At 40.9% G+C, this 16,639-nt stretch overlaps 1 annotated feature.

The window, feature by feature from the left end:
* Window positions 1-16,639: part of a centromere (Linear centromere model derived predominantly from reads generated in PMID: 17803354. This region does not represent an actual centromere sequence, as long-range ordering of repeats and unmapped WGS contigs is not provided by the model. For details of model production, see http://arxiv.org/abs/1307.0035.) that runs on past both edges of the window.

Consider the following 16,639-nt stretch of genomic DNA (forward strand, 5'->3'; position numbering starts at 1 on the left):
AACTCACAGAGCTGAGCATTCCTTGCGATGTAGCAGTTTAGAAACACACTTTCTGCAGAATCTGCAAGTGCATATTTGGACCTCTGTGAGGAATTCGTTGGAAACGGGATAATTTCAGCTGACTAAACAGAAGCATTCTCAGAACCTTCTTCGTGATGTCTGCATTCAACTCACAGTGTGGAACCTTTCTTTGATAGTTCAGGTTTGAAACACTCTTTTTGTAGAAACTGCAAGGGGATAATTGCACTCTTTGAGGAGTACCGTAGTAAAGGAAATAACTTCCTATAAAAAGAAGACAGAAGCATTCTCAGAACCCTCTTCGTGATGTTTGCATTCAACTCACAGTGCTGAACCTTTCTTTGATAGTTCAGCTTTGAAACACACTTTTTGTAGAAACTGCAAGTGGATATTTGGTCCTCTCTGAGGATTTCGTTGGAAACGGGATAAACTGCACAGAACTAAACAGAAGCATTCTCAGAACTTCTTCGTGATGTTTGCATTCAACTCACAGTGTTGAACCTTTCTTTGATAGTTCAGGTTTGAAACGGTCTTTCTGTAGAAACTGCAAGTAGATATTTGGACCTCTCTGAGGATTTCGTTGGAAACGGGATAAACCGCACAGAACTAAAACAGAAGCATTCACAGAAAACTCTTGGTGACGACTGAGTTTAACTCACAGAGCTGAACATTCCTTTGGATGGAGCAGTTTCGAAACACACTATTTGTAGAATCTGCAAGTGGATATTTGGGCCTCTCTGAGGATTTCGATGGAAACGGGATAAACCGCACAGAACTAAACAGAAGCATTCTCAGAAACTACTTTGTGATGATTGCATTCAAGTCACAGAGCTGAACATTCCCTTTGACAGAGCAGTTTGGAAACTCTCTTTGTGTAGAATCTGCAAGTGGAGATATGGAATGCTTTGAGGACTATGGTAGTAAAGGAAATAGCTTCATATAAAAGCTAGACAGTAGCATTCTCAGAAACTTCTTTGTGATGCTTGCATTCAACTCACAGAGTTGAACTTTCCTTTCGAGAGAGAAGCTTTGAAACACTCTTTTTCCAGAATCTGCAAGTGGACATTTGGAGGGCTTTGAGGCCTGTGGTGGAAAAGGAATTATCTTCCCGTAAAAGCTAGATAGAAGCTTTGTCAGAAACTTCTTTGTGATGATTGCATTCAAGTCACAGAGTTGAAGGTTCCTTTTCAAAGAGCAGTTTCCAATCACTCTTTCTGTGGAATCTGCAAGTGGATATTTGGACCTCTTTGAAGATTTCGTTGGAAACGGGAGAATATTCACAGAAAAGCTAAACAGAAGCATTCTCAGAAACTTCTCTGTGATGTTTGTGTTCAACTCCCAGAGTTTCACATTGCTTTTCATAGAGTAGTTCTGAAACATGCTTTTCGTAGTGTCTGCAAGTGGACATTTGGAGCGCTTTCAGGCCTGTGGTGGAAAACGAATTATGGTCACATAAAAACTGGAGAGAAGCCTTCTCAGAAACTTCTCTGTGATGATTGCATTCAACTCACAGAGTTGAACCCTCCTATGGATAGAGCAGTGTTGAAACTCTCTTTTTGTGGAATCTGCAAGTGGATATGTGGACCTCTCCGAAGATGTCTTTGGAAACGGGAATATCTTCACATAAAAACTAAACAGAAGCATTCTCAGAAACTTCTTGGTGATGTTTGCATTCAAATCCCAGAGTTGAACCTTCCTTTGATAGTTCAGGTTTGAAACACTCTTTTTGTAGGATCTGCAAGTGGATATTTGGACCACTCTGTGGCCTTCGTTCGAAACGGGTACATCTTCGCATAAAATCTAGACAGAAGCATTCTCAGAAAATACTTTGTGATGATTGAGTTTAACTCACAGAGCTGAACATTCCTTTGGATGGTGCAGGTTTGAGACACACTTTTTGTAGAATCTACAAGTGGATATTTGGACCTCTCTGAGGATTTCGTTGGAAACGGGATAACTGCACCTAACTAAACGGAAGCATTCTCAGAAACTGCTTTGTGATGATTGCATTCACCTCACAGAGTTGAACATTCCTATTGATAGAGCAGTTTGGAAACACTCTTGTTGTGGAATGTGCAAGTGGAGATTTGGAGCGCTTTGAGGCCTATGGTAGTAAAGGGAATAGCTTCATAGAAAAACTAGACAGATGCATTCTCAGGAACTTTTTGGTGATGTTTGTATTCAACTCCCAGAGTTGAACTTTCCTTTGGAAAGAGCAGCTATGAAACACTCTTTTTCTAGAATCTGCAAGTGGACGTTTGGAGGGCTTTGTGGTTTGTGGTGGAAAAGGAAATATCTTCACCTAAATACTAGATAGAAGCATTCTCAGAAGCTTCTCTGTGATGACTGCATTCAACTCACGGAGTTGAACACTCCTTTTGAGAGCGCAGTTTTGAAACTCTCTTTCTGTGGCATCTGCAAGGGGACATGTAGACCTCTTTGAAGATTTCGTTGGAAACGGAATCATCTTCACATAAAAACTATACAGAAGCAGTCTCAGAATCTTCTTTGTGATGTTTGCATTCAAATCCCAGCAGTTGAACTTTCCTTTCAAAGTTCACGTTTGAAACACTCTTTTTGCAGGATCTACAAGTGGATATTTGGACCACTCTGTGTCCTTCGTTCGAAACGGGTATATCTTCACACGACATCTAGACAGAAGCTTTCTCAGAAAATTCTTTGGGATGATTGAGTGGAACTCACAGAGCTGAACATTCCTTGCGATGTAGCAGTTTAGAAACACACTTTCTGCAGAATCTGCAAGTGCATATTTGGACCTCTCTGAGGAATTCGTTGGAAACGGGATAATTTCAGCTGACTAAACAGAAGCATTCTCAGAACCTTCTTCGTGATGTCTGCATTCAACTCACAGTGTGGAACCTTTCTTTGATAGTTCAGGTTTGAAACACTCTTTTTGTAGAAACTGCAAGGGGATAATTGCACTTCTTTGAGGCCTACCCGTAGTAAAGGAAATAACTTCCTATAGAAAGAAGACAGAAGCATTCTCAGAACCTTCTTCGTGATGTTTGCATTCAACTCACACTGCTGAACCTTTCTTTGATAGTTCAGCTTTGAAACACTCTTTTTGTAGAAACTGCAAGTGGATATTTGGTCCTCTCTGAGGATTTCGTTGGAAACGGGATAAACTACGCAGAACTAAACAGAAGAATTCTCAGAGCCCTCTTCGTGATGTTTGCATTCAACTCACAGTGCTGAACCTTTCTTTGATAGTGCAGCTTTGAAACACTCTTTTTGTAGAAACTGCAAGTGGATGTTTGGTCCTCTCTGAGGATTTCGTTGGAAACGGGATAAACCGCACAGAACTAAAACAGAAGCATTGTCAGAAACTTCTTTGTGATGATTGCATTCAACTCACAGAGTTGAAGGTTCCTTTTCAAACAGCAGTTTCCAATCACTCTTTCTGTGGAATCTGCAAGTGGATATTTGGGCCTCTCTGAGGATTTCGTTGGAAACGGGATAAAACGCACAGAACTAAAACAGAAGCATTCTCAGAAACTTCTCTGTGATGTTTGTGTTCAACTCCCAGAGTTTCACGTTGCTTTTCATAGAGTAGTTCTGAAACATGCTTTTCGTAGTGTCTGCAAGTGGACATTTGGAGCGCTTTCAGGCCTGTGGTGGAAAACGAATTATGGTCACATAAAAACTGGAGAGAAGCCTTCTCAGAAACTTCTCTGTGATGATTGCATTCAACTCACAGAGTTGAACCCTCCTATGGATAGAGCAGTGTTGAAACTCTCTTTTTGTGGAATCTGCAAGTGGATATGTGGACCTCTCCGAAGATGTCTTTGGAAACGGGAATATCTTCACATAAAAACTAAACAGAAGCATTCTCAGAAACTTCTTGGTGATGTTTGCATTCAAATCCCAGAGTTGAACCTTCCTTTGATAGTTCAGGTTTGAAACACTCTTTCTGTAGGATCTGCAAGTGGCTATTTGGACCACTCTGTGGCCTTCGTTCGAAACGGGTATATCTTCGCATAAAATCTAGACAGAAGCATTCTCAGAAAATACTTTGTGATGATTGAGTTTAAATCACAGAGCTGACCATTCCTTTGGATGGAGCAGGTTTGAGACACACTTTTTGTAGAATCTACAAGTGGATATTTGGACCTCTCTGAGGATTTCGTTGGAAACGGGATAACTGCACCTAACTAAACGGAAAGCATTCTCAGAAACTGCTTTGTGATGATTGCATTCACCTCACAGAGTTGAACATTCCTATTGATAGAGCAGTTTGGAAACACTCTTGTTGTGGAATGTGCAAGTGGAGATTTGGAGCGCTTTGAGGCCTATGGTAGTAAAGGGAATAGCTTCATAGAAAAACTAGACAGTGCATTCTCAGGAACTTTTTGGTGATGTTTGCATTCAACTCCCAGAGTTGAACTTTCCTTTGGAAAGAGCAGCTATGAAACATTCTTTTTCTAGAATCTGCAAGTGGACGTTTGGAGGGCTTTGTGGTTTGTGGTGGAAAAGGAAATATCTTCACCTAAATACTAGATAGAAGCATCCTCAGAAGTCTTCTCTGTGATGACTGCATTCAACTCACGGAGTTGAACACTCCTTTTGAGAGCGCAGTTTTGAAACTCTCTTTCTGTGGCATCTGCAAGGGGACATGTAGACCTCTTTGAAGATTTCGTTGGAAACGGAATCATCTTCACATAAAAACTATACAGAAGCAGTCTCAGAATCTTCTTTGTGATGTTTGCATTCAAATCCCCGAGTTGAACTTTCCTTTCAAAGTTCACGTTTGAAACACTCTTTTTGCAGGATCTACAAGTGGATATTTGGACCACTCTGTGTCCTTCGTTCGAAACGGGTATATCTTCACATGACTCTAGACAGAAGCTTTCTCAGAAAATTCTTTGGGATGATTGAGTTGAACTCACAGAGCTGAACATTCCTTGCGATGTAGCAGTTTAGAAACACACTTTCTGCAGAATCTGCAAGGGCATATTTGGACCTCTCTGAGGAATTCGTTGGAAACGGGATAATTTCAGCTGACTAAACAGAAGCATTCTCAGAACCTTCTTCGTGATGTCTGCATTCAACTCACAGTGTGGAACCTTTCTTTGATAGTTCAGGTTTGAAACACTCTTTTTGTGGAAACTGCAAGGGGATAATTGCACTTCTTTGAGGCCTACCGTAGTAAAGGAAATAACTTCCTATAAAAAGAAGACAGAAGAATTCTCAGAACCGTCTTCGTGATGTTTGCATTCAACACACAGTGCTTAACCTTTCTTTGATAGTTCAGCTTTGAAACACTGTTTTTGTAGAAACTGCAAGTGGATATTTGGTCCTCTCTGAGGATTTCGTTGGAAACGTGTTAAACCGCACAGAACTAAACAGAAGCATTCACAGAAAACTCTTGGTGACGACTGAGTTTAACTCACAGAGCTGAACATTCCTTTGGATGGAGCAGTTTCGAAACACACTCTTTGTAGAATCTGCAAGTGGATATTTGGGCCTCTCTGAGGATTTCGTTGGAAATGGGATAAACCGCACAGAACTAAAACAGAAGCATTCTGAGAAACTACTTTGTGATGATTGCATTCAAGTCACAGAGCTGAACATTCCCTTTGACAGAGCAGTTTGGAAACTCTCTTTGTGTAGAATCTGCAAGTGGAGATATGGAATGCTTTGAGGACTATGGTAGTAAAGGAAATAGCTTCATAGACAAGCTAGACAGTAGCATTCTCAGAAACTTCTTTGTGATGCTTGCATTCAACTCACAGAGTTGAACTTTCCTTTCGAGAGAGAAGCTTTGAAACACTCTTTTTCCAGAATCTGCAAGTGGACATTTGGGGGGCTTTGAGGCCTGTGGTGGAAAAGGAATTATCTTCCCGTAAAAGCTGGATAGAAGCATTGTCAGAAACTTCTTTGTGATGATTGCATTCAACTCACAGAGTTGAAGGTTCCTTTTCAAACAGCAGTTTCCAAACACTCTTTCTGTGGAATCTGCAAGTGGATGTTTGGACCTCTTTGAAGATTTCGTTGGAAACGGGAGAATCTTCACAGAAAAGCTAAACAGAAGCATTCTCAGAAACTTCTCTGTGATGTTTGTGTTCAACTCCCAGAGTTTCACATTGCTTTTCATAGAGTAGTTCTGAAACATGCTTTTCGTAGTGTCTGCAAGTGGACATTTGGAGCGCTTTCAGGCCTGTGGTGGAAAACGAATTATGGTCACATAAAAACTGGAGAGAAGCCTTCTCAGAAACTTCTCTGTGATGATTGCATTCAACTCACAGAGTTGAACCCTCCTATGGATAGAGCAGTGTTGAAACTCTCTTTTTGTGGAATCTGCAAGTGGATATGTGGACCTCTCCGAAGATGTCTTTGGAAACGGGAATATCTTCACATAAAAACTAAACAGAAGCATTCTCAGAAACTTCTTGGTGATGTTTGCTTTCAAATCCCAGAGTTGAACCTTCCTTTGATAGTTTAGGTTTGAAACACTCTTTTTGTAGGATCTGCAAGTGGATATTTGGACCACTCTGTGGCCTTCGTTCGAAACGGGTACATCTTCGCATAAAATCTAGACAGAAGCATTCTCAGAAAATACTTTGTGATGATTGAGTTGAACTCACAGAGCTGAACATTCCTTTGGATGGAGCAGGTTTCAGACACACTTTTTGTAGAATCTACAAGTGGATATTTGGACCTCTCTGAGGATTTCGTTGGAAACGGGGTAACTGCACCTAACTAAACGGAAGCATTCTCAGAAACTGCTTTGTGATGATTGCATTCACCTCACAGAGTTGAACATTCCTATTGATAGAGCAGTTTGGAAACACTCTTGTTGTGGAATGTGCAAGTGGAGATTTGGAGCGCTTTGAGGCCTATGGTAGTAAAGGGAATAGCTTCATAGAAAAACTAGACAGATGCATTCTCAGGAACTTTTTGGTGATGTTTGTATTCAACTCCCAGAGTTGAACTTTCCTTTGGAAAGAGCAGCTATGAAACACTCTTTTTCTAGAATCTGCAAGTGGACGTTTGGAGGGCTTTGTGGTTTGTGGTGGAAAAGGAAATATCTTCACCTAAATACTAGATAGAAGCATTCTCAGAAGCTTCTCTGTGATGACTGCATTCAACTCACGGAGTTGAACACTCCTTTTGAGAGCGCAGTTTTGAAACTCTCTTTCTGTGGCATCTGCAAGGGGACATGTAGACCTCTTTGAAGATTTCGTTGGAAACGGAATCATCTTCACATAAAAACTATACAGAAGCAGTCTCAGAATCTTCTTTGTGATGTTTGCATTCAAATCCCAGAGTTGAACTTTCCTTTCAAAGTTCACGTTTGAAACACTCTTTTTGCAGGATCTACAAGTGGATATTTGGACCACTCTGTGTCCTTCGTTCGAAACGGGTATATCTTCACACGACATCTAGACAGAAGCTTTCTCAGAAAATTCTTTGGGATGATTGAGTGGAACTCACAGAGCTGAACATTCCTTGCGATGTAGCAGTTTAGAAACACACTTTCTGCAGAATCTGCAAGTGCATATTTGGACCTCTCTGAGGAATTCGTTGGAAACGGGATAATTTCAGCTGACTAAACAGAAGCATTCTCAGAACCTTCTTCGTGATGTCTGCATTCAACTCACAGTGTGGAACCTTTCTTTGATAGTTCAGGTTTGAAACACTCTTTTTGTAGAAACTGCAAGGGGATAATTGCACTTCTTTGAGGCCTACCGTAGTAAAGGAAATAACTTCCTATAGAAAGAAGACAGAAGCATTCTCAGAACCCTCTTCGTGATGTTTGCATTCAACTCACAGTGCTGAACCTTTCTTTGATAGTTCAGCTTTGAAACACTCTTCTTGTAGAAACTGCAAGTGGATATTTGGTCCTCTCTGAGGATTTCGTTGGAAACGGGATAAACCGCACAGAACTAAACAGAAGAATTCTCAGAGCCCTCTTCGTGATGTTTGCATTCAACTCACAGTGCTGAACCTTTCTTTGATAGTGCAGCTTTGAAACACTCTTTTTGTAGAAACTGCAAGTGGATGTTTGGTCCTCTCTGAGGATTTCGTTGGAAACGGGATAAACCGCACAGAACTAAAACAGAAGCATTGTCAGAAACTTCTTTGTGATGATTGCATTCAACTCACAGAGTTGAAGGTTCCTTTTCAAACAGCAGTTTCCAATCACTCTTTCTGTGGAATCTGCAAGTGGATATTTGGGCCTCTCTGAGGATTTCGTTGGAAACGGGATAAAACGCACAGAACTAAAACAGAAGCATTCTCCGAAACTACTCTGTGATGTTTGTGTTCAACTCCCAGAGTTTCACATTGCTTTTCATAGAGTAGTTCTGAAACATGCTTTTCGTAGTGTCTGCAAGTGGACATTTGGAGCGCTTTCAGGCCTGTGGTGGAAAACGAATTATGGTCACATAAAAACTGGAGAGAAGCCTTCTCAGAAACTTCTCTGTGATGATTGCATTCAACTCACACAGTTGAACCCTCCTATGGATAGAGCAGTGTTGAAACTCTCTTTTTGTGGAATCTGCAAGTGGATATGTGGACCTCTCCGAAGATGTCTTTGGAAACGGGAATATCTTCACATAAAAACTAAACAGAAGCATTCTCAGAAACTTCTTGGTGATGTTTGCATTCAAATCCCAGAGTTGAACCTTCCTTTGATAGTTCAGGTTTGAAACACTCTTTTTGTAGGATCTGCAAGTGGATATTTGGACCACTCTGTGGCCTTCGTTCGAAACGGGTACATCTTCGCATAAAATCTAGACAGAAGCATTCTCAGAAAATACTTTGTGATGATTGAGTTTAACTCACAGAGCTGAACATTCCTTTGGATGGAGCAGGTTTGAGACACACTTTTTGTAGAATCTACAAGTGGATATTTGGACCTCTCTGAGGATTTCGTTGGAAACGGGATAACTGCACCTAACTAAACGGAAGCATTCTCAGAAACTGCTTTGTGATGATTGCATTCACCTCACAGAGTTGAACATTCCTATTGATAGAGCAGTTTGGAAACACTCTTGTTGTGGAATGTGCAAGTGGAGATTTGGAGCGCTTTGAGGCCTATGGTAGTAAAGGGAATAGCTTCATAGAAAAACAAGACAGATGCATTCTCAGGAACTTTTTGGTGATGTTTGTATTCAACTCCCAGAGTTGAACTTTCCTTTGGAAAGAGCAGCTATGAAACACTCTTTTTCTAGAATCTGCAAGTGGACGTTTGGAGGGCTTTGTGGTTTGTGGTGGAAAAGGAAATATCTTCACCTAAATACTAGATAGAAGCATTCTCAGAAGCTTCTCTGTGATGACTGCATTCAACTCACGGAGTTGAACACTCCTTTTGAGAGCGCAGTTTTGAAACTCTCTTTCTGTGGCATCTGCAAGGGGACATGTAGACCTCTTTGAAGATTTCGTTGGAAACGGAATCATCTTCACATAAAAACTATACAGAAGCAGTCTCAGAATCTTCTTTGTGATGTTTGCATTCAAATCCCAGAGTTGAACTTTCCTTTCAAAGTTCACGTTTGAAACACTCTTTTTGCAGGATCTACAAGTGGATATTTGGACCACTCTGTGTCCTTCGTTCGAAACGGGTATATCTTCACACGACATCTAGACAGAAGCTTTCTCAGAAAATTCTTTGGGATGATTGAGTGGAACTCACAGAGCTGAACATTCCTTGCGATGTAGCAGTTTAGAAACACACTTTCTGCAGAATCTGCAAGTGCATATTTGGACCTCTCTGAGGAATTCGTTGGAAACGGGATAATTTCAGCTGACTAAACAGAAGCATTCTCAGAACCTTCTTCGTGATGTCTGCATTCAACTCACAGTGTGGAACCTTTCTTTGATAGTTCAGGTTTGAAACACTCTTTTTGTAGAAACTGCAAGGGGATAATTGCACTTCTTTGAGGCCTACCGTAGTAAAGGAAATAACTTCCTATAGAAAGAAGACAGAAGCATTCTCAGAACCCTCTTCGTGATGTTTGCATTCAACTCACAGTGCTGAACCTTTCTTTGATAGTTCAGCTTTGAAACACTCTTCTTGTAGAAACTGCAAGTGGATATTTGGTCCTCTCTGAGGATTTCGTTGGAAACGGGATAAACCGCACAGAACTAAACAGAAGAATTCTCAGAGCCCTCTTCGTGATGTTTGCATTCAACTCACAGTGCTGAACCTTTCTTTGATAGTGCAGCTTTGAAACACTCTTTTTGTAGAAACTGCAAGTGGATGTTTGGTCCTCTCTGAGGATTTCGTTGGAAACGGGATAAACCGCACAGAACTAAAACAGAAGCATTGTCAGAAACTTCTTTGTGATGATTGCATTCAACTCACAGAGTTGAAGGTTCCTTTTCAAACAGCAGTTTCCAATCACTCTTTCTGTGGAATCTGCAAGTGGATATTTGGGCCTCTCTGAGGATTTCGTTGGAAACGGGATAAAACGCACAGAACTAAAACAGAAGCATTCTCAGAAACTTCTCTGTGATGTTTGTGTTCAACTCCCCAGAGTTTCACGTTGCTTTTCATAGAGTAGTTCTGAAACATGCTTTTCGTAGTGTCTGCAAGTGGACATTTGGAGCGCTTTCAGGCCTGTGGTGGAAAACGAATTATGGTCACATAAAAACTGGAGAGAAGCCTTCTCAGAAACTTCTCTGTGATGATTGCATTCAACTCACAGAGTTGAACCCTCCTATGGATAGAGCAGTGTTGAAACTCTCTTTTTGTGGAATCTGCAAGTGGATATGTGGACCTCTCCGAAGATGTCTTTGGAAACGGGAATATCTTCACATAAAAACTAAACAGAAGCATTCTCAGAAACTTCTTGGTGATGTTTGCATTCAAATCCCAGAGTTGAACCTTCCTTTGATAGTTCAGGTTTGAAACACTCTTTTTGTAGGATCTGCAAGTGGATATTTGGACCACTCTGTGGCCTTCGTTCGAAACGGGTATATCTTCGCATAAAATCTAGACAGAAGCATTCTCAGAAAATACTTTGTGATGATTGAGTTTAACTCACAGAGCTGAACATTCCTTTGGATGGAGCAGGTTTGAGACACACTTTTTGTAGAATCTACAAGTGGATATTTGGACCTCTCTGAGGATTTCGTTGGAAACGCGATAACTGCACCTAACTAAACGGAAGCATTCTCAGAAACTGCTTTGTGATGATTGCATTCACCTCACAGAGTTGAACATTCCTATTGATAGAGCAGTTTGGAAACACTCTTGTTGTGGAATGTGCAAGTGGAGATTTGGAGCGCTTTGAGGCCTATGGTAGTAAAGGGAATAGCTTCATAGAAAAACTAGACAGATGCATTCTCAGGAACTTTTTGGTGATGTTTGTATTCAACTCCCAGAGTTGAACTTTCCTTTGGAAAGAGCAGCTATGAAACACTCTTTTTCTAGAATCTGCAAGTGGACGTTTGGAGGGCTTTGTGGTTTGTGGTGGAAAAGGAAATATCTTCACCTAAATACTAGATAGAAGCATTCTCAGAAGCTTCTCTGTGATGACTGCATTCAACTCACGGAGTTGAACACTCCTTTTGAGAGCGCAGTTTTGAAACTCTCTTTCTGTGGCATCTGCAAGGGGACATGTAGACCTCTTTGAAGATTTCGTTGGAAACGGAATCATCTTCACATAAAAACTATACAGAAGCAGTCTCAGAATCTTCTTTGTGATGTTTGCATTCAAATCCCAGAGTTGAACTTTCCTTTCAAAGTTCACGTTTGAAACACTCTTTTTGCAGGATCTACAAGTGGATATTTGGACCACTCTGTGTCCTTCGTTCGAAACGGGTATATCTTCACATGGCATCTAGACAGAAGCTTTCTCAGAAAATCCTTTGGGATGATTGAGTGGAACTCACAGAGCTGAACATTCCTTGCGATGTAGCAGTTTAGAAACACACTTTCTGCAGAATCTGCAAGTGCATATTTGGACCTCTCCGAGGAATTCGTTGGAAACGGGATAATTTCAGCTGACTAAACAGAAGCATTCTCAGAACCTTCTTCGTGATGTCTGCATTCAACTCACAGTGTGGAACCTTTCTTTGATAGTTCAGGTTTGAAACACTCTTTTTGTAGAAACTGCAAGGGGATAATGGCACTTCTTTGATGCCTACCGTAGTAAAGGAAATAACTTCCTATAGAAAGAAGACAGAAGCATTCTCAGAACCCTCTTCGTGATGTTTGCATTCAACTCACAGTGCTGAACCTTTCTTTGATAGTTCAGCTTTGAAACACTCTTCTTGTAGAAACTGCAAGTGGATATTTGGTCCTCTCTGAGGATTTCGTTGGAAACGGGATAAACCGCACAGAACTAAACAGAAGAATTCTCAGAGCCCTCTTCGTGATGTTTGCATTCAACTCACAGTGCTGAACCTTTCTTTGATAGTGCAGCTTTGAAACACTCTTTTTGTAGAAACTGCAAGTGGATGTTTGGTCCTCTCTGAGGATTTCGTTGGAAACGGGATAAACCGCACAGAACTAAAACAGAGCATTGTCAGAAACTTCTTTGTGATGATTGCATTCAACTCACAGAGTTGAAGGTTCCTTTTCAAACAGCAGTTTCCAATCACTCTTTCTGTGGAATCTGCAAGTGGATATTTGGGCCTCTCTGAGGATTTCGTTGGAAACGGGATAAAACGCACAGAACTAAAACAGAAGCATTCTCAGAAACTTCTCTGTGATGTTTGTGTTCAACTCCCAGAGTTTCACATTGCTTTTCATAGAGTAGTTCTGAAACATGCTTTTCGTAGTGTCTGCAAGTGGACATTTGGAGCGCTTTCAGGCCTGTGGTGGAAAACGAATTATGGTCACATAAAAACTGGAGAGAAGCCTTCTCAGAAACTTCTCTGTGATGATTGCATTCAACTCACAGAGTTGAACCCTCCTATGGATAGAGCAGTGTTGAAACTCTCTTTTTGTGGAATCTGCAAGTGGATATGTGGACCTCTCCGAAGATGTCTTTGGAAACGGGAATATCTTCACCTAAAAACTAAACAGAAGCATTCTCAGAAACTTCTTGGTGATGTTTGCATTCAAATCCCAGAGTTGAACCTTCCTTTGAGAGTTCAGGTTTGAAACACTCTTTTTGTAGGATCTGCAAGTGGATATTTGGACCACTCTGTGGCCTTCGTTCGAAACGGGTACATCTTCGCATAAAATCTAGACAGAAGCATTCTCAGAAAATACTTTGTGATGATTGAGTTAAAATCACAGAGCTGAACATTCCTTTGGATGGAGCAGGTTTGAGACACACTTTTTGTAGAATCTACAAGTGGATATTTGGACCTCTCTGAGGATTTCGTTGGAAACGGGATAACTGCACCTAACTAAACGGAAGCATTCTCAGAAACTGCTTTGTGATGATTGCATTCACCTCACAGAGTTGAACATTCCTATTGATAGAGCAGTTTGGAAACACTCTTGTTGTGGAATGTGCAAGTGGAGATTTGGAGCGCTTTGAGGCCTATGGTAGTAAAGGGAATAGCTTCATAGAAAAACTAGACAGATGCATTCTCAGGAACTTTTTGGTGATGTTTGTATTCAACTCCCAGAGTTGAACTTTCCTTTGGAAAGAGCAGCTATGAAACACTCTTTTTCTAGAATCTGCAAGTGGACGTTTGGAGGGCTTTGTGGTTTGTGGTGGAAAAGGAAATATCTTCACCTAAATACTAGATAGAAGCATTCTCAGAAGCTTCTCTGTGATGACTGCATTCAACTCACGGAGTTGAACACTCCTTTTGAGAGCGCAGTTTTGAAACTCTCTTTCTGTGGCATCCGCAAGGGGACATGTGGACCTCTTTGAAGATTTCGTTGGAAACGGAATCATCTTCACATAAAAACTATACAGAAGCAGTCTCAGAATCTTCTTTGTGATGTTTGCATTCAAATCCCAGAGTTGAACTTTCCTTTCAAAGTTCACGTTTGAAACACTCTTTTTGCAGGATCTACAAGTGGATATTTGGACCACTCTGTGTCCTTCGTTCGAAACGGGTATATCTTCACATGACATCTAGACAGAAGCTTTCTCAGAAAATGCTTTGGGTTGATTGAGTTGAACTCACAGAGCTGAACATTCCTTGCGATGTAGCAGTTTAGAAACACACTTTCTGCAGAATCTGCAAGTGCATATTTGGACCTCTCTGAGGAATTCGTTGGAAACGGGATAATTTCAGCTGACTAAACAGAAGCATTCTCAGAACCTTCTTCGTGATGTCTGCATTCAACTCACAGTGTGGAACCTTTCTTTGATAGTTCAGGTTTGAAACACTCTTTTTGTAGAAACTGCAAGGGGATAATTGCACTTCTTTGAGGCCTACCGTAGTAAAGGAAATAACTTCCTATAGAAAGAAGACAGAAGCATTCTCAGAACCCTCTTCGTGATGTTTGCATTCAACTCACAGTGCTGAACCTTTCTTTGATAGTTCAGCTTTGAAACACTCTTCTTGTAGAAACTGCAAGTGGATATTTGGTCCTCTCTGAGGATTTCGTTGGAAACGGGATAAACCGCACAGAACTAAACAGAAGAACTCTCAGAGCCCTCTTCGTGATGTTTGCATTCAACTCACAGTGCTGAACCTTTCTTTGATAGTGCAGCTTTGAAACACTCTTTTTGTAGAAACTGCAAGTGGATATTTGGTCCTCTCTGAGGATTTCGTTGGAAACGGGATAAACCGCACAGAACTAAAACAGATAGCATTCACAGAAAACTCTTGGTGACGACTGAGTTTAACTCACAGAGCTGAACATTCCTTTGGATGGAGCAGTTTCGAAACACACTATTTGTAGAATCTGCAAGTGGATATTTGGGCCTCTCTGAGGATTTCGTTGGAAACGGGATAAAACGCACAGAACTAAAACAGAGCATTCTCAGAAACTACTTTGTGATGATTGCATTCAAGTCACAGAGCTGAACATTCCCTTTGACAGAGCAGTTTGGAAACTCTCTTTGTGTAGAATCTGCAAGTGGAGATATGGACCGCTTTGAGGACTATGTTAGTAAAGGAAATAGCTTCATATAAAAGCTAGACAGTAGCATTCTCAGAAACTTCTTTGTGATGCTTGCATTCAACTCACAGAGTTGAACTTTCCTTTCGAGAGAGAAGCTTTGAAACACTCTTTTTCCAGAATGTGCAAGTGGACATTTGGGGAGCTTTGAGGCCTGTGGTGGAAAAGGAATTATCTTCCCGTAAAAGCTAGATAGAAGCATTGTCAGAAACTTCTTTGTGATGATTGCATTCAACTCACAGAGTTGAAGGTTCCTTTTCAAACAGCAGTTTCCAATCACTCTTTCTGTGGAATCTGCAAGTGGATATTTCGACCTCTTTGAAGATTTCGTTGGAAACGGGAGAATCTTCACAGAAAAGCTAAACAGAAGCATTCTCAGAAACTTCTCTGTGATGTTTGTGTTCAACTCCCAGAGTTTCACGTTGCTTTTCATAGAGTAGATCTGAAACATGCTTTTCGTAGTGTCTGCAAGTGGACATTTGGAGCGCTTTCAGGCCTGTGGTGGAAAACGAATTATGGTCACATAAAAACTGGAGAGAAGCCTTCTCAGAAACTTCTCTGTGATGATTGCATTCAACTCACAGAGTTGAACCCTCCTATGGATAGAGCAGTGTTGAAACTCTCTTTTTGTGGAATCTGCAAGTGGATATGTGGACCTCTCCGAAGATGTCTTTGGAAACGGGAATATCTTCACATAAAAACTAAACAGAAGCATTCTCAGAAACTTCTTGGTGATGTTTGCATTCAAATCCCAGAGTTGAACCTTCCTTTGATAGTTCAGGTTTGAAACACTCTTTCTGTAGGATCTGCAAGTGGCTATTTGGACCACTCTGTGGCCTTCGTTCGAAACGGGTATATCTTCGCATAAAATCTAGACAGAAGCATTCTCAGAAAATACTTTGTGATGATTGAGTTTAAATCACAGAGCTGACCATTCCTTTGGATGGAGCAGGTTTGAGACACACTTTTTGTAGAATCTACAAGTGGATATTTGGACCTCTCTGAGGATTTCGTTGGAAACGGGATAACTGCACCTAACTAAACGGAAGCATTCTCAGAAACTGCTTTGTGATGATTGCATTCACCTCACAGAGTTGAACATTCCTATTGATAGAGCAGTTTGGAAACACTCTTGTTGTGGAATGTGCAAGTGGAGATTTGGAGCGCTTTGAGGCCTGTGGTAGTAAAGGGAATAGCTTCATAGAAAAACTAGACAGATGCATTCTCAGGAACCTTTTGGTGATGTTTGTATTCAACTCCCAGAGTTGAACTTTCCTTTGGAAAGAGCAGCTATGAAACACTCTTTTTCTAGAATCTGCAAGTGGACGTTTGGAGGGCTTTGTGGTTTGTGGTGGAAAAGGAAATATCTTCACCTAAATACTAGATAGAAGCATTCTCAGAAGCTTCTCTGTGATGACTGCATTCAACTCACGGAGTTGAACACTCCTTTTGAGAGCGCAGTTTTGAAACTCTCTTTCTGTGGCATCTGCAAGGGGACATGTAGACCTCTTTGAAGATTTCGTTGGAAACGGAATCATCTTCACATAAAAAGTATACAGAAGCAGTCTCAGAATCTTCTTTGCGATGTTTGCATTCAAATCCCAGAGTTGAACT

The sequence above is a fragment of the Homo sapiens genome, chromosome 17 (genome assembly GCF_000001405.40).
Source record: "Homo sapiens chromosome 17, GRCh38.p14 Primary Assembly".
In the NCBI taxonomy this organism is placed as follows: Eukaryota; Metazoa; Chordata; class Mammalia; order Primates; family Hominidae; genus Homo; species Homo sapiens.